The 21,864-nt window shown below is 46.9% G+C and overlaps 1 protein-coding gene across 11 annotated transcripts in view, besides 4 other annotated features; it reads left to right on the plus strand.

Moving 5' to 3' along the window:
• Nucleotides 1-21,864, plus strand: part of KAZN (kazrin, periplakin interacting protein) — a 1,225,220-nt gene that overhangs the window by 841,109 nt on the left and 362,247 nt on the right. The window lies entirely within an intron of this gene.
• Nucleotides 701-1,422: an enhancer, noted in NCBI's record as "H3K27ac-H3K4me1 hESC enhancer chr1:15061129-15061850 (GRCh37/hg19 assembly coordinates)". NCBI's record gives its function as "activates a minimal SCP1, AML or CMV promoter by ChIP-STARR-seq in naive and primed H9 embryonic stem cells {active_cell/tissue: H9 hESC(naive and primed)}" and the evidence as "EXISTENCE:reporter gene assay evidence [ECO:0000049][PMID:30033119]".
• Nucleotides 1,423-2,144: an enhancer, noted in NCBI's record as "H3K27ac-H3K4me1 hESC enhancer chr1:15061851-15062572 (GRCh37/hg19 assembly coordinates)". NCBI's record gives its function as "activates a minimal SCP1, AML or CMV promoter by ChIP-STARR-seq in naive and primed H9 embryonic stem cells {active_cell/tissue: H9 hESC(naive and primed)}" and the evidence as "EXISTENCE:reporter gene assay evidence [ECO:0000049][PMID:30033119]".
• Nucleotides 8,124-8,708: an enhancer, noted in NCBI's record as "OCT4-NANOG-H3K27ac hESC enhancer chr1:15068552-15069136 (GRCh37/hg19 assembly coordinates)". NCBI's record gives its function as "activates a minimal SCP1, AML or CMV promoter by ChIP-STARR-seq in naive and primed H9 embryonic stem cells {active_cell/tissue: H9 hESC(naive and primed)}" and the evidence as "EXISTENCE:reporter gene assay evidence [ECO:0000049][PMID:30033119]".
• Nucleotides 8,709-9,292: an enhancer, noted in NCBI's record as "NANOG-H3K27ac hESC enhancer chr1:15069137-15069720 (GRCh37/hg19 assembly coordinates)". NCBI's record gives its function as "activates a minimal SCP1, AML or CMV promoter by ChIP-STARR-seq in primed H9 embryonic stem cells {active_cell/tissue: H9 hESC(primed)}" and the evidence as "EXISTENCE:reporter gene assay evidence [ECO:0000049][PMID:30033119]".

Consider the following 21,864-nt stretch of genomic DNA (forward strand, 5'->3'; position numbering starts at 1 on the left):
TCCCGGCACACCATAGGGCTGCGCACAGCTCCTGCCCTGGCTTCGGCCCTTCCCTCTGCCCAGGATGCCCTTCATCTGGATATCTACGCCTAACAGGTTCAACTCAGGGGTTCCCTCCTGCCGGGTGAGCAGTGGGAATCACAGTCCAAGGAACTTTGGTCTTGGAAGTATCTGAGTTCCAGTGCTTACTAAGCCCTCGAGCCTGCCCCAGCTACTTTCTCCTCACCCGTGGAATGAGGATAAAGTAGCACCTAACTCAGTGTTTCTCAAACTGTACAGTGCGCCTGAAGCACTCCGGGATCTGGATAGACTGCAGATTAGGACTCAGCAGGTCTGGGGTGGGGCCAGAGAGTCTGTGTTTTTCTTTTTTCTTTTCTTTTTTTTTTTTTTTTTTGAGACAGAGTTTTGCTCTTGTTGCCCAGGAGTGCAATGGCACCATCGGTTGACTGCAACCTCCGCTTCCCGGGTTCAAGTGATTCTCCTGCCTCAGCTTCCTAAGTAGCTGGGATTGCAGGCATGCACCACCACGCTCGACTAATTTTTTTTTAATTATTATTTTTAGTAGAGACGGGGTTTCTCCATGTTGGTCAGGCTGGTCTTGAACTCCCGACCTCAGGTGATACACCCGCCTTGGCCTCCCAAAGTGCTGGGATTACAGGCCTAAGCCACCACACCCGGTTGAGTCTGTGTTTCTCTAACATGGTCCCCTGTGATGCGGATGCTGCTGGTCCAGAGTCCACACTTTGACTAGCAAAGGCTGATCTCATCGTGTTATATGTGACATGGCATGTACATGACATGTAAAGTACACAGGCCTTGCCTGGTTCATGCAAGCCCACCGTGATAACTTTTCTTGTGTGTAATGTGAGGCTTCCAGGGCACACCAGTCTCCTTCATGGAACAGACCAGACTGCGTGTCCCAAGCATCTCACTGTCTGAGGTTTGAGGAGCACTTTTAGTTCCGCCTCCTTTTACCATGCCTCCCCATAGTCCCGTTGGGCTTTCCAATCTCTGTGTAGGTTGTAAAATTCCTGGGGCAAGAAACATTCAGGAGGCAGTAGGTGTGCCTTGTACGAGGATGTGCGTCTTGGTTTTGGGGAGCACAGGATGCTAAATGGTCATGCTGGTTTTTTTTGTTTTGTTTTGAGACGGAGTCTCGCTCTTTCGCCCAGGCCGGACTGTAGTGGCGCTATCTCGGCTCACTGCGAGCTCCGCCTCCCGGGTTCACTCCATTCTCCTGCCTCAGCCTCAGGAGCAGCTGGGACTACAGGCACCCGCCACCATGCCCGGCTAATTTTTTTGTATTTTTAGTAGAGACGGGGTTTCACCGTGTTAGCCAGGATGGTCTCGATCTCCTGACCTCGTGATCCGCCCGCCTCGGCCTCCCAAAGTGCTGGGATTACAGGCGTGAGCCACCGCGCCCGGCCCGTGCTGTTGTTTTCAAAGACACGTTTATTCTTGAAGGGAACACAAAAGAGGTATAGGATCTCCTTCTTCTTCCAGGCAGCCCTGCCCTGGTTTCCAGCCACCTTGGGTGTTTAGGCTGGACCCCGAAACCACCCCCATACACAAAGCCTGAGTGTCAAAGCCTCGCTGGTAGCCAGGCTCAGAGAGAATGTGCTAAACCCCACACACCTAACGGCCGTTTTCACATGGCAGCCCCCCACGCTGAGATCCATATACCCAAACATCAGCGAGGCTGCCGTGAGAAGCAGCAGGAGACACACAAGCTACTTACCGGCCAGTTTCCATTACTCTCCCGACCTGTTCCAGATTTCCAAAGCGGCATGCCGGGTAATAGCCACTCTTGCACGGCAAAGGAGAAATGTCCACGATAGTCCAAGAAGCGCCGTCCCTGGCCCTGGGTTTGGTAAGTTGTAAAAGGAACTTGCTGCTAAATAGCCACTTAATCCCCAGAGCCTTTGTGATTTGTAAGTTTCAGGCTTGAGCTTGAGGTTGGTGACAATCTCCACCTGTGGCCATAGAAGAATAAAAGCTTTGGGGGGAATGTGGAGCCCCCGCAGGAAGATGAGTTACCTCCAACAAATAAGTGTTATGGGACATCTGGTGGAAATGCACCCTAGAGATAAGACAGGCCGTCGGTCCACCTGCAGTCAGCCATTGTTAGTTTTATTACCTCCGGTGGATGAGGCCAGGTGAAAAACAGAAGTTCCCCACAGCCTCCAGAGAGAAGAAAAGGAGTGTGTTTCCTGTACATCTGTATTCTCAAACTTCCATGTGGCTAAAAATGGGAAGGGGGTACTTTTTAAAAATATAGGTTCCTGGGCCCCTGGCCTGTTGGGGCTCATGTGGGACTCAAGGGTGTGTGTGTGTGTGTGTGTGTGTGTGTGTGTGTGTGTGTGTGTGTATATTTTTTTTTTTTGAGACGGAGTTTTGCTCTTGTTGCCCAGGCTAGAATTCAATGGCGTGATCTCGGCTCACTGCAACCTCTGCCTCCCAGGTTCAAGCTATTCTCCTGCCTCAGCCTCCCAAGTAGCTAGGATTACAGGCATGTGCCACCACACCCAGCTAATTTTTTTTTTTTTTTTTTTTTTTTTAGTAGAGACAAGGTTTCATCGTGTTGGTCAGGCTGATCTCGAACTCCTCACCTCAGGTGATCCACCTGCCTCAGCCTCCCAAAGTGCTGGGATTACAGGCGTGAGCCACCACTCTCGGCCAAGGGTGTACATTTTTAACAGGGTCCCCAGATGGTTTTGCTGCAGTTGGTCCCCTGACCACACTTTAAGAAACACTGGCTAAGACAGTTCTATAAAAATAAAGAAGAAATCATTGTTCAGCCCAGGATGTGCAAGGGTGAAGGAATAGTATATTCACTCAAATCATCTGAAGTGCATTATCCAGAATAGATTCTGGCTACAGAATCTGAAGAGACATTGCCATAGCTCCCACTTCATTCATTCATTCATTCATTCAACAAGTCTCTCTTGAGCACCAGCTGTATGCCAGGTGCTGTTCTAAGGGCTGAGGATATAGAGAACAAAACAGACCAAAATCCTTGACCTGAGAGAGCCGACTTTCTTATGAAAGAGATCGGCGATCGAGATCAATAAGGACGTAAGTGCATTGCACACCTTGAAGAGTAGGCAGGAAGGTGGCAAGAGGGAATATTGCAGGGAGGGAGGCTGCTGGGAGCAAATGTGACAACTTTAAGTTGGGAGATCAGGGCCAGCCTCACTGAGGAGGTAACATTTGAGCAGAGATGTGAAGGAGATCAACGAGAGCAGTGTGGATCTCTGGGGAAGGCACGCACGGAGACCCTGAAGCCTCAGGGTGCTCCAACATGCAAGGAGGCGGATGGTGCAGGAGTGATCAGATGGGACCTGTGGTCAGAGAAGACCTGAGAACAAGCCTGAGTGTAGAATTTGCCACTCAGCAGATGGTTTTCGAATGGGTGGATCCATTCAGGGATCCTCCACGGTATGCACAGAGAAGTAAAGAGATCCAGCTTCCAGGAAAAGAGCAGAAAAGCAGATATACAGGGAGAAGCAGGCACAGAAACCACAAGGCTCTAAGGGGAGAGGGGTTGGGAGAACAGTGATGCAGTCACTTTGTGCATCTGTTATCAACTGCTGTGTAACCAGTTACTGCACACTGGGCAGCTTATGAGGACAGACACGTATTACCTCGCAGCTTCTGGAGTTCAGAAGTCTGGCCATGGCTGAACTGGGCTCTCTGCTCAGGGACTCACGGGGCAGAAATCAGGTGCTGGCTGAGCTGCATTTCTTCTGTAACTCCAGGTCCTCTTTCGAGCTCATGTGGTTATTGATGGAAATCTGTTCTTTGCAGCTGTAAGACTGAGGCCACTGTTCTCTTGATGGCTGTTTGCCAGGTGCTGCTCTAAGTTCCTGGAGGCTGCCTGCAGTTCCTTGACACATGGGCCTCTCCATCAGCTCTTGGGCTGCCAATCTCCTAGGCAGGGCCCCGGCTCTTTTAAGGACTCACCTGATTAGGTCAGGCCCACCTGGATGCTTTTTTTAAATAAAGAGCTCAAAGTCAACAGTGGTAATGTAAGAATAGAAGCGAAATCCCATCACATTCACAGGTTCTGCATGCACTCAAAGTGGGTACACCAGGAGAGGAAATCTTGGGGGTTTAGAATTCTACCTACTGCCCTTCAGTCCAGCACAATTTCTGGTTTCTGGTACTCGAGTGGCAGGGGCTACCCTTTCTCCCTTGGGCCCCACACCATGCACCCAGCTCCATGTGATAAATGACCATTCTTGCTTCCACAGGCTCTAGTAGATCTCAGCTAGAGAATCCCAAGACTGTGATGGGATGGGAGTCCCAAAGGCACCACCTCAATTTCAGCATGATTTGCCTGTGGTGTGCAGGATCCTTCTCTCCCCAGGAGCGGAGAGAGGGAAGCGATCATGCTGAAATGCTTTTGAAGCTGCCTTTGTGCACCGTGGCGCAGATGACACAGCAGTGCCCTGAACCCTGGCTGCTGCTCCAGCACACTCAGTCTTAATGTATTGACATTGGCAGCCCTTGTATATCTCGTCATGCCAATAAGGTAATTGAAATGGAATTGTCTCCAAGCATCCAATTAATCAGCAAATAAATCATAAACCTGTGGCTGTTCATTCAGGGAGGCAAAGAGGCTTCTCCTGGCTTTCTGACCACCGGAGTTGATTGAGCTCAGACTTTATGCACTTCTAATGAGCTTCAGGAGAAGAGAGGTAAGTCCAGGCAGGTAATGTTTAGAGCGTTACTGAGGCCCCGGGAACTGTGTACAAGGTCCTTCACGTATGAAGGCTCATTCTTCCATCAAAGAGGTTTATGTACTGGATTTTTTTCGTTAAAAAAATCCCCGTGAAGTGAGGATGACGATTCACATTTTACAGGACAGGAAACTGAACCTCAGAGAGGTTAAGCAACTTGCTGAAGGCCACACAGCAAGTAGAGGGCAGAGTCTGAGTTGAAAACTAGACCCGTCTGGTCAAGTGCAATGGCTCATGTCTGTAATCCCAGCACGGTGGGAGGCCAAGGCAGGAGGATTGCTTGGGGCCATGGATTCAAGACCAACCTGGGCAACCTAGTGAAACCTCATCTCTATTAAAAATAAAAATAAAAATTAGTTGGGCATGGTGGTATACACCTGTGGTCCCAGGAGTCCTCAGGAGGCTGAGGTAGGGGGATCACTTGAGCCCAAGAGTTGAGGTTGCAGTGAGCTATGATTGCACCACGGCACTCCAGCATGGGCAACAGAGTGAGACTTTGTCTCAAAACAAAACAAACAAAACACTAAGCCCATCTAGCGTTAAAAGCCATGTTCTTTTTAATCGATGCTGTGCCAGATATGCAGATTTAAGTCACAAATGGTTTCCATTGTCAAGCCAAATTTTAAATCCGGGACTGTGTGAAGTGAGAAGCTATTGGAGTGGATGGCCTCTGGCTGCTACCCCATACCCCAGCTTTATTAGGTGCTGGCATCGGAAGTACAAGCAAGAGACGGGCAGTGTCCTGTGGTGGATTTCCATTCCTGTGGGGGAAAATCCTCCTGTTCGTGTGATAACTTCGCACCTCCTAAAAGCCCTTTGATGCCCAAAACTCCTTCATAAGCTCAAGTGTTTCCTCCCCTTGGCCGGGTGGGGAAATTCTAAGGAACCATTCTCAGGCTAGGCTGATGAAGGGAGGGATGTCATTTTCTCACTTGAGGACGCTTTCAAGACGTTTCACATGACGAGAAGTCTTCACACCACCAACTTCCCCTTTTTTTTTTGTATTGTTTGAAGTTCAAACTGGAGAACTAACTGTGGTAACGGGTCAAGTCAGCCCAGCCAAAGGAATGACGGATTCAAAAAAAGTGGAAAGCTTCGAATTTCCTCACTTAGAATAAAAAAATGTTGATCTGTCTGCCCACGTGCAAACAGAGAGCCTGCGAGGAATTCATCTGCACCCTTCAGGAGGGTTTGTATCTGCTCTGGGATTTCTACAAGCAGAAAGGAGAATTATTTTCGTGATTCAGAGCAATTCTTCAGTGGGAAATGTCACCCTGAATCCTTTTGGCTCTGGTTTATTGGGGCATTTGCTGAGCAGTTGAGAACGGGGGAAAGAAGGAGTCCTTTCCTTTCTAGGAGGCACCTGGATACATCTGCAGTCAACAAGGGACCATCTGCCTTGCAAAGCGGGGTTTTTGTGGATCAGACCCAAGCCGAGTGTGTGCTGGGGCTGTGGCAAATACCCTGCAGCCCCTAGGAGGCAAATTGGTCCCTCCACAGGCAGCTGTGGCTTAGACATCCCTGGAGCTCAGGGAACCAACCGTGGTATGACACGTAAGAGCTCCAGAGACACCGTGCTGTGCGGGGAGCTGCAATCCCAGATGCACAGGCTGTGTTTCTGGGCAGGACGCCTCTAAACCGATGCAGAGAAAACTTGGTGGAGGGAGTGGAATTTGACTTCCAGTCAAATGTCATCCTGACATCCAGTCCCATGCACAAACTATGATGCTTTTTCCTTTAGCACCTTTGGTCCTTGTCTCCTCTTCACTATTATATGTGCCCACTTCTCTTCTCTGGATTATGACAGCTGCCAACTGCTGCCTTGCTAAAAGTCTCGCCCACCCCAATTCCATCCTATCCTCTGCCTCCGCCCCCCCAAAAAAATGAATTACATTGTATGGTTCTCCTTCTTTAAATCCCTCTATAGCTCCTGTCTCCTTGGCGTGGTTTGAGCCCCACAGACCTCTCCCGCTCTGGCCGCCCGCACTCCCATCTCAGGTTTCTACTGCTGTGATTCTGAGCTGCACCTTGGGCCATTCCTGGGATCAAGAGGGTCTCTTGATTTCTTGCTCTTTGTTCATTCTCCTTCCTTTGCCTGGAATTCCTTTAGCCCTCCTTCTTGCCAGCCCCCAAACAGGAAAGATTCCACCTTTGCTGGGCTTTGGGGATTCCAATTACTAACTGTAGGAATAACAGGGCATTTGGAAATTCAGTTTTATCGTTTCCTGGGGAATGACAGACACTTTCCCTCCATGGTGCCTGTGGGGGTGGCAGGTCCTGCCCTCTGTTCACAGACCTGGAGGGGAGTGGGAAGGAGCTCTGTGCTTTGAACATGCTTCTCTGGGGGTGCAGCCTCCAGGCAGCTGGGGCAGGATCATGCCCTCACTCTCTCCCTTGTGCTACCATGGAGGTCCTGTGTGCTGACCAAGCACTTGTCCCAAGTTGCTGGAGCGGGTCGTTTATTTGCTCTGCATCCGAGGCCTGAATATGATTGGTGCTTCACTTTTAAATGCGTGCATGAATAAATGGACTTGTCTTTCTCCCCTGTGACATAATCCAGAAGAGGAACTCTATCTTGACCATCTTTGCCTCCCCAGCACCCAGCACCATGCCTGAAGCACACAGTTGCTCAATGTCGGGCATGAGGATGCTAGAGGAGGGGGCAGCTGGTGGCACAGGTGGCTATGGTTGCCTCAGCTCAGGCAAATCCCATGGGCATGTGGAGACCCAGAGACCTACAGTTTTTTTCTTGGGTTTGTTGGCTTTTAGAGTTCTAACAGTTCCAGCCTCTTCTCTTGGGCCTCCTGGAAGGGAATGTCTGTCAGAATCTCCCATCAGGTCCTGAAATTTGAGAGCACAACTATTTACATATTGAAAAGGTCAGGATAGCGTGTGACAGTTTTACTTTGATTGAACTAGTATCTTTTTATTTTTCTCTTACATGAGGCTGAGCTACTTGCTGAACTGAAAAGGAGAGGGAGGGAGAAGGGGCACTTCCCCCCGGGGTTTCAAGACCTGCTGAGCTTCATAGCCAAGAGGTTCTCACTCCCCACTCAAGTGTCAGCTTTCCAGAATGGCCCCTTGAAGACAAAAACTCTTTCAAGGCATATTAAACAATAGCAAACTCTGATAAAATTCCATTCTGGTGGCATGTTTTATGAGAAACTGATGAGGGGCCCTGAAATGCATCTCAACCTTGATGTTTGAGCCAGAATCCAAATATTCCCTTTCTGTTAACCAATTCAATGTTGCTTCTCTCTTGTGGTTGTTTTTTTTTGGGTTGTTTTTTGTTTTGTTTAGGATTTTCCTTGTGGGAAGCCACATTCACCTTCTTGATACTATGAAATGGCTATACAGAAAAATAGAACCATCCCCAAGCAAAGATTCCTCCCCCTTTGGAATTGTCCCAGTGTGGACAGCACTTCCCTCCAACTTTGGATGAACAGAACAAACGAAAGGAGGAACTGTGAGTGGGGTCCTCTCCAACTGCTATAATGTCAGCTCCAGGAAAGCAGTGACCTTGTCCGTCCTGTTCACTGCCTGTTCCCAGCATCTAGAAGAGGGCCTGGCTCATAGTAGGCACTGAATAAATATTTGTGAAGAAGCTGCTAGATTGCAGGCTTTGTGATGGCAAGGACTCTGCCTAGGTCTGTGTTATTCATGAATGTGTCCCTCCCACTTAAGAGCACAGCAGGCACAAAATAGAAGCTTATTCATTCATTGAGCAACTACCATATGCCAGAGATGACTCAGGCACTGAATAAATACTTGTTGGATTAACTAAGTGCATTCTTGCGTACGTGCTTGAATGAATGAAGGAATGAGCGAATGAAAAAAAAACCAATGAGTCAGTTCATCCGCCAGCAATAACCAATCTCGCCTCTCTGTGCTGCAGTCTTGGGACAATAAGCCTGGAGGTTTCTCTCCCTGTGCTTTTTCTCGCTTGTTGTGATATCCCTGCCTACCAAAACTCCCAAGAAGTGTCAGCTCCAATGATGTTTCTTTGAATCACCCCATCTGGCAAGATGCAAACACTCTTGCTTTTGAATTGCTTTGTCACTTTCTGTCTTAGCTGTTGAGCACAGTTCAAAACCCATTTGCTGAGCCTGTCCTGTGGACAGCCATGGTGGCAGGAGCCAGGGATGTAGAAGTGACCCTGGAGTCACCAGGGTTCAGTGTGTGTCTTGCCTGCCTGGATTGTACAAGCACCCACGGCTCAGAGACGGAGACTTCCTCCTCTCTGTAACTGCACTTGGCACCTGGTAGTGAGTCTGGTCAAACAGATGCTCCTGCACTCACCAGTGAATAGACCCATAAGATGTGCCGCCTTTGAGATCTTTGCTTTGGTGGATTTGAAATATGGGAGGAAGAGCTGAGCTGCACTGTGTGTGGGCCAGAGTGGTGCGTCGCAGGCATGAAGAGGCCAGGAGTAGGGAGAGTTCCATGGGGGTCAGGATCAGAGAGGTCCATAGTAGGTTCAGGTGTGGTGGCTCATGCCTGTAATCCCAGCACTTTGGGAGGCTGAGGTGGGAGGATCACTTGAGGTCAGGAGTTCGAGACCAGCCTGGCCAACATGGTGAAACTGTCTCAACTAAAAATACAAATATTAGCCGGGCGTGGTGACACGTGCCTGTAATCCCAGCTACTCTGGAGGCTGAGGCAGGAGAATCACTTGAACCTGGGAGGCGGAGGTTACAGTGAGCTGAGATCGCGCCACTGCACTCTAGCCTGGGGGACTGAGCGAGACTCTGTCTCAAAAAAAAAAAAAAGTACATACAATGCAGATATTAATTATTCATTAATTGGTCACTGCAACAGTGAGACTGAGGACTTCTTTGATAGAAGCCCCAGTGCTTTCTAAATTGGCTTAAGCAAAAAGAAACAAAATGAACCCTTCATTGGTTCCCAGACATGATGAGTCATATAGGTCATCGCTGGCATTTGGGAGACCCAGCAGTGGCCAGAATCTCTCCCTCTCCTCGGGTCTCAGATCTGTTGTCCCCCAAGTTGCTTTGGTTCCCAGCAGATTGTCTGGTGGGGTCCTCCTCACCCTCCACTACTCCCTGCTGTCTTGAACCACTTTATTTAGCGTTGGCAGTGGTGGGAGGGAGCCGCTTTCCTGACAGCTCCAACAAGAGTCCTGGAGTTGATCTCAGGTCGCTTATGGCCAAGAGATTGGAAAATGCTGATTATCCCAGTGGAGACAGGGGCCCATCCATGGAACAGAGGGGATCAATCTTACCTCAACTGCAGACACCAAGAATGAGGTTTCCTGAAGCAAAACCAAGACTCTGGTACCTGGAAAAGAGGAAAATGCAAGCTGGACGGACAAAAACCACTCTTGGCTACTGTACAGGCTATCAAGAGAAACTAGGAGCCACTCCAATGACAGAACATTGCTTGTTGAGGGGAGACGGTCAAGGCTGGCTTTATCATGGCCATCACCAGTGCCCTGAATGGTTCCTTATGTGTGGGCATCATTAACCTGGCCATTTGCACACATTATTAATAACACTAGCAGCATTAATAATGGCTACAGAGATGCTTTATGTGTTTTCCATGCACTGGCTGAGTATCTTACTCAGTATTATCTTATTTAGTCTTGACTGCAACTCTGTAAGGTAGGAACTATTGGCCCCATTTTACAGAGAAGGGAATCAAGGTCCAGTGAGGTTAGGTGGCCTGTCCAGAATCACATGGCTAATCCCTGATGGTGGTAGTTTTTTTTGTTTTGTTTTTGTTTTTTTGTTTTTTAATTATTTAAGTGTAACAGGCCAGGTGTGATGGCTCACGCCTGTAATCCCAGCAATTTGGGAGGCTGAGGTAGGACAGTCACTTGAGGCTAGGAGTTCAAAACCAGCCTGGGCAACATAGCAAGATCCTGGTACTCTACACAAAATAAAAATAAAAAATTAGCCAGGTATGGTGGCATGTGCCTGTAGTCCCAGCTACTCGGGAGGCTGAGGCAGGAAGATCACTTGAGCCCAGGAGTTCGAGGCTGCAGTGAGCTGTGATTATGACACTGTATTCCAGCCTGGGTAACCCAGTCTCTTTAAAAATAAAAACAATTCTTTAAAAAAGTGTAACATGCATCCAGCAAAGTCCATAGTTCATAAGTAAATAACTAGAAGGATTTTCACAGGGACCAAACTCAAGCAAGCAGCACTGACATCAAGCAAAAGAGGAATATCACCAGCACCCGGAGGCACCTGTGACCCCTCCAAGTCACTACCTGTCCCCAAGGTCATCACTGCCCTGGCTCCTTGCAGCAGTGATCCTGCAGCTGACCCAGAACCGCCTGAGCCTGGAGCTACCCATGGGCAGTGGTAACTTACTACAGATAGACCTTGAAGTTCAAGTGGCAGGAGATGATATAGATGAAAGGAAGTCTTGCTAGGACCATTGAATCGCCTTATGACCTAACCAAAAGGTCTGGCCAAAAATCCAGACAGATCCTGATCTGGACAGTGCCCTGCAGGCCAGCACCCAGCACCATCCCAGTGCCCTGGACCTGGGAGTATACAGCGCCAAGACCGATCTGCAGCCTGGCAATGTGAATGGGGCGTTTATCATTAAAAGAAAAAAAGGAAAAAAAAAAAAAAAAGGAAAATCACATGCTTTCTTTAACAAAAGGGCTTCTCTGCAACTGTTTTTAAATGGTACGCAGCTCAAAATAGATAGGAATGATAGTACAAGAAGGTAAATAAAGAATCCCCTGGCACAATCGTGGGCCTTTTTTCTCTGCTGGTTGCAAAGCCAAGAGTAATTAGCACCGTGAGAATGGGGGGAAGTGATTGCTGCTCCTACAACACTCTAATTAACAGTTACTAATAGTCATAATAAAACTGAAAGGAGGCTTTTTAAATCTCGCCATTGAGTGAGTGCTTGGTATGGCAGAGTGCTCAGCATTGGGGACCCACTGCTTCTCGGGGCTATACACTTGGCATGGGTTCATTTCTCTAATGTTGTTAGGTTGGTTGGGGGAAAACAGTGGTTAAATATGGTGGAAGAGTGGGGAAGAGATCTTAATCATCACTAGAATTATTACCGCTAATAAGATCAACGACTGATCCATCCGGAGCTTCGTTTAGACAAATGCAGTCTTAGACACTGTTTCCTTTAACCCTCAGGATAAATATTTGGCTGATGTTACTATCGTCTTGATTTGGCACTGCTATATTTTCTGTTGGGGACAGTTTTCATTTGTCACGAGTGGGCTTTCAAAAGACTGTTCTGGGCGAACCGTTCTGCTGGGCACTTGGCATCCCCGGGGTAAATTGGTGGTCTCTTGCTCTCATGGAATTTATGACTCAGCAGAAATAAAATATAACAGAAGCTGGCTTTGAAAGAAAAATCACATTCATTGTGCAATATGATTTATCATGAACTTTAACTGGTTGGGTTTTTAAATGCCATTTATGTCCACCTTAAATTAAGTTATCCCAGTTCAAAATCACCCACAGCTTTCGTGATGGGCATGTGTTCTGTGAATGCAGTCACTTTGTGACCCATTAGTGACACTCCAGCTTTACAGTCACTAAGGATAGATGGTGTTCTCTTGATTCCCCTACCAAGTTCGTCATCTTTCCTCAAAAATGCAGGTGGAGTTTCTGGAGTGGCGAAGACCACAGAGCCATGTATTTACTTATTTAACATGTTACTGAGTGGCCTCTTCTCCACCACTCAATAACAAGAGCAAGTATTTTGGAAGGATTAAAAGTGCGGAGGACTCAGTCTCTGCTGCAGGTTTCTTGAGGGAGAGGTCACTGGCAGACAATTACTTCAAACACCGAGAAACAGACAACATGGCTAGCACCAAGTCTCATAGGAGTTCAGGGCAAACTTAGACTTTCCTGCAGGCCAGATGATCCGGGAAGGCTTCTCAGAGGAAGTGGCACTGGAAGTATCCAGAGGCCATTGACAAGCAGAGGGGAGGCATTCCAGGGAGAAGCTGGAGTTGGGGAGCTGGGGTCAGGGAGGGAGGGTGGAGAGGGAGATGGTGAGGAAAGCAGCTCTTGCAGGTCCTTGAGTGTCAAAATATGGGGTGTGGGTTTTAGTCAGTGGAAAGTGGGGTGCCATGAGTCTCTGTACCAGAACAAGGTCAAAGTAGTCGTCTAGAGATGTCACTGCTGTAAATGATTTCCTTTTCAGTTATTTTATATGTTGGTGGCAAAATACATATAACATACAATTTACCCTTTTAATCATTTTTAAGTCTACAGTCCAGTAGCTTTCAATAGAGTATTGTACAACCATTACCACTATCTACTTCTCATCTTCCCAAATGAAAACTGTATCCATTAAACAGTAACTCCCCATCCCTTGTCCCCCCAGCCTCTGGTAGTTTCTATTCTACCTTCTGGCTCTATGAGCTTGCCTATTCTAAGTACCCCGTATAAGCAGAATCATATAGTATCTTGTATCTGACTTCTTTCACGTAACATATTGTCCTCAAGATTCATCAGTGCGGTAGCATGTTCAGAGTTACCTTTCTTTCCTTTTGAAGACTGAATAATATTCCATTGTGGTGTGTATGTGTATGTAGATAGTTAGATGGATACATAGATAGATAGATATCACATTTTTATTTTTATTTTATTTATTTATTTATTTATTTTTGAGACAGGGTTTATCTCCCATTGCCCAGGCTGGAGTGCAGTGACACGCTTTCAGCTCACTACAACTTCCACCTCCCAGGCTCAAATGATCCTCCTTCCTCAGCCTCCCAAATAACTGGGACTACAGGCATGCACCACCATGCCTGCCTAGTTTTTCTATTTTCAATAGAGACGGGGTTTCACCATGTTGGCCAGCAGGCTGGTCTTGAACTTCTGACCTCAAGTGATCCACCCATCTGGGCCTCCCAAAGTGCAGGGATTATAGGCGCAAGCCACTGCACCTGGCCCGTATCACATTTTAAAATCCATTCATCCATCAATAAGCATTTGCGTAGTTTCCACCTTTTGGCTGTTGTGAATAATGCTGTTATGAACATTAAATACAAGTATCAGTTTGAGTCCCTGTTTTCAATTCTTTTGGTTATATACTCAGGAGTGGAACTGCTGGGTCACATGATAATTCTATATTTAACTTTTTGAGAAATTTTCACAGTGTTTTCCACAGCGGCTGCACCATTGCACATTCTCACCAGCAATGCATAAGGGTTCTGATGTCACTACATCCCCGCCAACACCGGTTGCCACCCTAATGGACATGAAGTGGTATTCGGCTTATATTTGCTCCAGTGACAACATTTCTGTTTTGAGAATTGTTCTCTAGGTTTCCAGCTTGATCATTTCCCTGATTTCCAAACATTTCAACTTTTAGTCTTTTCCCCTTGTGAATAGAGTGGTGTTGAGATGACCCAGGGATCACCTTTGAGGAGCTAAGCTTTCTGGACATCAAGCTCTGGCTTGGAAAACTGGCCCATCCTTGGCTATCTCTTTCCTGTGAGTTGGATGGCAGCTTATCAAATTCTACCAGAATTCTATCAGAAAAGCAGATTTCTGCAGATTCTGCTAGATTTTCTCCCAGAAAAAACATCTTTTAATAAAAATGAATCTTCATGAGCCTTCAAGGACACATCAGCAAAAAGCCCACTTCTCTCATCTTTACTGGCTGTCTTTAGCTCACAGGAATGCAAGGAACTTAGCTCATTCATTGGCGTTTCCTCTGGGGATATAGAGTGGGCATCATCGCATGGCTGGGAGTTCATGACCTGGGTTAAGCCACTCACTAGTTTTGTGATTTGGGGCAAGCTGACCTTCTTCTGCTGGGAGGAAGGGAGTTGTACACTTCTTTTTTCTATTATCTCTTTGTGCCTCCGTCGTCTCATCCGTGAAATGGGGATAATGATTGAGCCTCCTTGTAGAGTTGTTGAGAAGGTTCAATGAGGCAATGCGTGTAAGTCATTTGTAACAGTCACTGGCAAACAGCAAATGTCTCAAAGCTTTTCACCTACATGAGTTTTGTTGAGGTTGGTGTCTCTTGGTCTCAATCTCTTCTAAGAAATGGAGCTAATAATAGTTGATGTTACAAAAGCCCTGTGCTGAAGACTAAATGAGGCAATGTATGTGAAGCTCTTGGTGTAGATCTAGGACATAGCAATTGTTCAATAAGCATCAGTCATGTTGTCACTACCAAGAGTGCTGATGCCAACTTCCAGTGCCCCTGGATAGGAAAGTACTGACCTGACCCCTTACTTCAAAGGGCTGTGGTTATATCCCAATTCAGTTAAGTGAGCCACGAATTTGAGAAGAAAGTTTTGCAAACATCAGAATGGTCTCCTAAACTCTGTAAGAAAAAGACCACAAAGTAATCAAAAGGTACATGTTCTAGTCTCTGCTCTGACTCTAATTTGCTGTTCTGCCACAGGCAAGTCACTCTAGTCTCTGGGCTTCTGTTTCCTGCTATTAAAGACCCTATCAAGGGTGATAAATAAACGTGGTCCACATGCTATTGCTTCCCGCAGCAGACATTACTAATTGATCCCAGAACTCACATCCACTGAGACCTGTTTCAGCCTCAGACTCCTTCTCAACACAGTGCTATGGGCAGCAACTAGCAATCAACTGCAATTGACTAGGGAGTTGAAACTAATTTGATGTTCCAGGTGGAAATCTCAATTCTGTTACAAGCCTTTCTCCCATACTACCATAAACACAGGCAAATAGGCTAAGATTTCTTTTTAAAATTCTGCATCAGTTATAGCCACCGAATGTTTTTACTAGGCCAGGTGCTGAGAACACCCTCAATGGAGCAAAAAGCATTCTTAAGCCACTCTTAAACCTCCTTCAGGAGAGGGCTTCAGTTCCACACAAGGAGGCAAATGAGAATCAAGGAATTAGTTGCATGGGGAAGCAACAGACACATCAAAAGAGAACCATGATGCAGCTTGCTCCTCTGGCTCGGCCTGTGGTTACAGGAGGAAGGCAGGCTACAGGGCAGAGGAGTATTCCCAGTAGGTTGGTTTTTCTGCACAGGGGCCCTTCTGTCATGGTGCTCAGGACCTGTGCGTCCTCACACAGGCACCAGGCCTCCCATTCAGATTGAAAGCTAACAGACTTGCCCAGTCCTCTCCATTTCCTGCCTCTCCTGGGAGCCATTCTCCTTGGCCCATCCTAAGGGGTCTTGGGAGTCGTATCACCTCTCTGGGCCTCAGTTTCCTCATTTGTCAAGCAGTGAGAGTAATAATGCCTCCTTCTTCATGCCTACCTTCCTCATGGGCCATTGTAAGGACCCAAATGAGGTCATAGTTCTGTATCTTGTTTTTGGTTGGTGGTTACACAAATCTATACATGGGGTAAAATGACATAGAACAAAGACATACCCATGACCAAAAAAAAGGTGGGGGGTGCATGCAAAAACCAGTGACATCTGAGATACTCCACCAATGTCACTTTCTTGGTTTTGATACTGTGGTAATGTAAGATGCGGCCATTGTGAGAAGCTGGGTAACGGGCACAGGGTACCTCTCTGGGCTATTTTGGCAACTTCATGTGAACATATTATTTCATAATGAAAGTTTTTTTAAAAAAAATGAGAGCCTTGAAAATGCATCAGACAATTTTGAGACAGTATTCATGGGTGCGGCCACAGACATGGACTCCTCTGCCTCATTCCCAAGAATTCAGGATATCAATAAAGGAGAGCAGCCACGGCTCCTGAATTTCCACAGCACTGTGGGCTGAATAGGTCACCCCATCCTGCAAGCCAATTTTTTACCTGACTTAACGGAAACGAAGTTTTACGTGCTCCCTATTCCAGGTACGAACACTGAGGCTTCAGTCAGCAGGAAAATATGCCTAGGAGTGCTCATAACTTGCCATCTTTTTTCTTTCAAATTCATAATCTGGGATGCTCATTAGCTTTCTGTTTCAGAAATAATTTCTTCTTTGATTTTTGTACATGACAAGTTTCTTTTCTAAAAAAAAAAAAAAGACCTTTAAAACCCATTTGTCTTCCATTTTCTCTACATAGCCTGAGGACCTGAAAGAACTGATTAATTCCTAGACTTGTTAATTACTCTTGCATGGAAGCAAACCTCTAAACTCTAATCTCCTGAAGATGGCTCACATTTGAGCCCTGTGCTGCTAGTCAGGCGGTAGGCAGGAGTGTCTATGCTTTAGAAAACACATGATTTCAGGGATCAGTTTGGGAGGGTTCTCCCATCATGAGGCTATCACCAGAAATACGCAACAGATTCTGCTGGGTGAGTGTCAATGGCCAGATCCAGTGTAACCCCTGATGTTCCATTTGTGCTCCCACCTACAAGTGAGCAAGGGCTGATCACTGTAGGGCTCAGAGTGGGAGATGGAGAATGGTTCCCTTGTTACGTGGCGACGTCATTTATAACATGACCTAGACTCTGGGCCTCCTTCCTTTGGAGAGGAGATGTGAAGCTTTGAGTATGTTCTTGTCTGTTTTGATTTTTTTAAAAAGCTTTATTGCCTAGGGGAAATCATAAATCATACATGCTCATTTTATGTTCACCCTAAATTCCACCACCTAAGGATGATCGCCATTAACACTTTGGTGAGCTTCCCCTAGATCTTTCCAGGCCTTTAATTACATGTGGATGTTATGTATACATGTGTACTTAATACGTACATGTGAATTGAATGTGTACTTGCATGCTGTTCTGTAACCTGCTTTTTCATTCACGTTGTTAGAGGCAAGACAGTTACCTTCCTTGTCATTGAATTCTACCCTTCTTTCATCACCATCTAACTTGTAGCTAACATATCTGTAGCACTTACTCAGCGCTAGGCATTATCCACAGAACTTCTCATAGCTTACCTCGTTAAAGCCTCATAACACCCTGACAAGGTAGGCACTATGACTGTCCCTGTTTTATTGCAGAGAATACTAAGACACAGTAAGACCTTGGGTAGGACCTTGGTAAGAGACTTGCCCAAGGTCATACCTCCAGGGCTTGGACTTGAATCAGGCATCCTGGCACTAAGGTCTTTGCTCTTAACTGCTGGGCTACAACTGGTGTTCAACCCTGAGTCCAGGGGTTGCTGAGCTCCTCTGGCTATGGAATGGCAAATGCTTGTCACAGGGAGCACCGTTTCTCCTTCATGTTTCCAAAACAGGCATCACTAGTGATCACAGCACCTTTTCCCAACAGTCCTAGACTGGCATAGGATCCTTCCCTATAGATATGCCATCACAGGCAGCCACTGCTGAGCCTTTGGGATGGTGTCTCAGTCTGTTTTGTATTGCTATAAAGGAATATGTGAGGCTAGGTAATTTAAGAAGAAAAAAAGTTTTATTTGGCTCACCCTTCTGCGTAATGTACAAGAAGCATGGTGCCAGCGCTTGCTTCTGGTGAGGGCCTCGGGCTGCTTCCACTCATGGCAGAAGGTGAAAGGGAGCTGGTGTGTGCAAAGATCACATGGTGAGAAAGGAAGCAAGAGAGAGAGGTGAGGTGTCAGGCTCGTTTTAACAACCAGCTTTTGTGGGAACTAACAGAGTGAGAATTAATCTATTCATGAAGAATCTGCCCCTATGACCCAAACATCTTCCATTAGGCCCACCTCTAATATTAGGGATCCAACTTTAACATGAGGTTCAGAAGGGACAAGTATTCAAACCATAGCAGACGAGTCTGTGAGATGATGCTGATATGCCTTCCCTGATCCATCTAATGCCGTTCTCTCCTTCTGCGCATAAGGAAACAGGCCCCAAGAGGGAACTGACTTGTCTAAGTGAAGGGCAGAGCTGTCTTCATCCATTTGTGCTACAAAACAAAATACCTGAGACTGGGCAATTTAGAAAACATGGAAATTTATCTCTCATAGCTCTGGAGGCTGGGAAGTCCAAGATCAAGACACCAGCAGATTCAACGTCTGGTGAGGCTGCTCTCTACTTCCAAGATAGCGCCTTCTTGCTATGTCCTCACATGGTGGAAGGACAAAAAGAGCCTAGTCAGTTCCCTGGAGCCCTTTCATAAGGGTACCAATCCCATTCATGAGGGCAGACCCCTCATGACTGAATCACTTCCTAAAGGCCTACTCTTAATACTATCACATTGGCAATTAAGTTTCAACATAGGAATTTGGTGGGGAGGGGGGACACATTCAGACCATAGCAAGAGCCAAAACCAGCGCTTAGTTTTATTAATCACAAAGCCCATCCTTTTTCCACCACCACACCACTGTCTGTTCAAATCTAACAAAACAAACACCAGCTACCATTGGAGACACACTCTGATCAGTTTCAGTGCAGCCCAGCTGTGCATTTGGACCACTCAGAGGTAACCAGAGAGCTTGGCATTGAGGATGGACCACAAAGGATCATTTTATCTCAATGCACTTTGTAGAAGATGTTGCCAAATACTGAAGAGTGCATTGGTGACATCAGTGCTTTTAATTTATACAGTGGTCACAGCTCAGGGGTCAGCAAATCGTGGTTGAGGTCAATTGCCGACTGTTTACTGAGAGGATCCATCATTGGAGGGCACTGAGGGAGCTCCAGGAAGCATGCCTTCATGCAACAAGCATGCATTGAGCACCTCCTGTTTATTTTTCAAATTTATTATTATTTTTAAATTTATTTTTCTTTCAATAGGTTTTTAGGAAGCAGGCGGTATTTGGTTATATAAATAAGTTCTTTAGTGAGCACCTCCTGTTTATGAGGAGAAACTAGGTTTACAAATGAGACAGTGACAAATGCCACAAGGTGACACTGGTGGGGTTTTATCTGGGGAGGATGCTTCTTTCCATTCCCAGTTTGGTTTCAACTGAGAATTTAAAACATGAGAGAGGCTGGGTGCATTGGGCTCACACCTATAATCCCAACACTTTGGGAGGCTGAGGCTTGCATATTGCTTGAGCCCAGGAGTTTGAGACCAGCATGGGCAACATAGTGAGACCCCACCTCTAATTATTTTTTTTACTTAAAATTAAAAAAAAATAAAATAAAATAAAACACAGGAGAAAAATGGAGATCACAATCATTACCAATTGAACTGAATGGAAACAAACTTAGTTTGGGGCCAATTCTTCACCCCAGGGGCAGGCAGAGCTGAAGGACTGCAGGCCCCTAGCCCTCCACCCATAGAGGCTACATCTTTCCCTGCACTCACCTCTAGGGAGGGAACACACTAGAATGCATATGCCCAGTGGGCAAGCAGGCCTGTTTCCTTCTGCAGCTCTGGAGGCTGCGAAGTCCAAGATGAAGACTCCAGCAGATTCAGTGTCTGGTGAGGCTGTTCTCTGCTTCCAAGATAGCGTCTTCTTGCTGTGTCCTCCTCCTCCTTCTCCTGAGACAGGAGTGAGTGAAGGGGAAGAGGGTGCCGCAAATGTGGGTGACCAGAGCTTCCTCTATGGGACACTTGGCTAGGACTTGGAGGTTCTTTCCCTAACCAGCCTGTGACCAATCGACGTAGGCTGTGTACATTTCAGAGAGGGAGATCCATGTGGGCTCCAGCCACGGGGAAGAGTTCTTGGCAGAGACCCCCTGATCTGAGTGCTAAGAGTTGGGTGGGTTGGGGTGGACAGCTGCAGGGCCCACCCTGGGCTTTCTGCCCAGGGTGCTTTGGGAGAAAGACAATGATTTATGTGGGATACAGTGGGGAGGCCAGTGGAGGGATTTTGTTGCACATAATCAGATATAAAACACAGCCTTTAAACTTTGTGCATTGAATAGGTCTACAGAACTCAAATCCATGGGCCGGATGTGGTGGCTCACACCTGTAATCCCAGCACTTTGGGAGGCTGAGGCAGGTGGATCCCCTGAGGTCAGGAGTTCAAGACCAGCCTGGCCAACATGAAGAAATCCTGTCTCTACTAAAAAGACAAAAATTAGCCAGGCATGGTGGTGGGCGCCTGTAACCCCAGCTACTTGGGAGGCTGAGGCAAGAGGATCGCTTGAACTTGAGAAGTAGAGGTTGCAGTGAGCCAAGATCACGCCACCACACTCCAGCCTGGGTGAAAGAGGGAGATTCGGTCTAAAATTTAAAAAAATTCAAATTCATTAATCCAGATTTTTTTATAGTCACGTTGTTGGATGATGTTTGTGGCTGAGGTTCATGCTTCCTAACATGGGAAAATGTGTTCTCATGCAAGGAGAGGGAGAGAAAAGTGTGCTGAGAGGGAAGGGAATGGGCTTTGGAGCCTGGTAGATGCTCACTGGAATCCTAGCTCCACCACCTGCCAGCTGTGTGACCTTATTCAGGTGACTTAACCTTGCTGAACCTCTGCCTTTCCCCCACTTACAAAATGAGAACAAAGACATGGATTTTCCGGATTGAAAAAATTAAGTGAAACAAGTCTCGCATGACCGGGCCCAGTGGCTCACATCTATAATCCCAGCACTGTGAGCGGCCAAGGCGGGAGGATCGCTTGAGCCCAGGAGTTTGAGACCACCCTGGGCAACATGGAGAAACCCCATCTCTACTAAAAATGCAAAAAAAAAAAAAAAAATAGCCAGGTGTGGTGGCGTGTGCCCACAGTTCCAGCTACTCAGGAGGCTGAGGTGGGAAAATTGCTTGAGCCCAGGAGACGGAGGTTGCAGTGAGCCAAGACTGTGCAACTGCACTCCAGCCCAGGCAACAGAGTAAGACCCTGTCTCAAAAACAAATGAACAAAAAACAGGCCTTGCAAGGTACTATTGCCATGCTTGTCCCTAAATTCCCTTTCACCTGTCTCCCTGCCCTTTGCTGCCCCTGACCCCACTCCACCCCAGAGGATTTTTATATGAGGTACAGTCCTAACTCTGGTGGGGAAATGTCTATGAAAGCTTTACTGTAAAAAATATATAAATCTTAAAAGTCAACCTATATGTCGTGTGGTTGTAGATTTTTTTTAAAGGAAGGAGGAGAACAGCGCTCCTGGGAAGTTACGATCTCCAGAAGCAACTAACATTCATTACAAGGAAGGTCTCAGCGCTGATTCCCACAAGTGGCAGAGAAGAAAATGAGATGCAGGCTCTGGATTTGCATAATCGCTGACTGTTTCCTGCTCATTTGCCACTTTGCAGGGGTTCAGTGTGGAGGGCAGCCCCTTCCTGGCCTGGACACCCTCTGTGCCCAGGGCTCCACGGGGTCCCTCTTGGAATGGTGCTTTAATGATCACTCAGATGGCATTTAGCCTCCAATTAAGAGCCGGGAAGAAAA

The sequence above is a fragment of the Homo sapiens genome, chromosome 1 (assembly GCF_000001405.40).
Source record: "Homo sapiens chromosome 1, GRCh38.p14 Primary Assembly".
Classification (NCBI taxonomy): domain Eukaryota; kingdom Metazoa; phylum Chordata; class Mammalia; order Primates; family Hominidae; genus Homo; species Homo sapiens.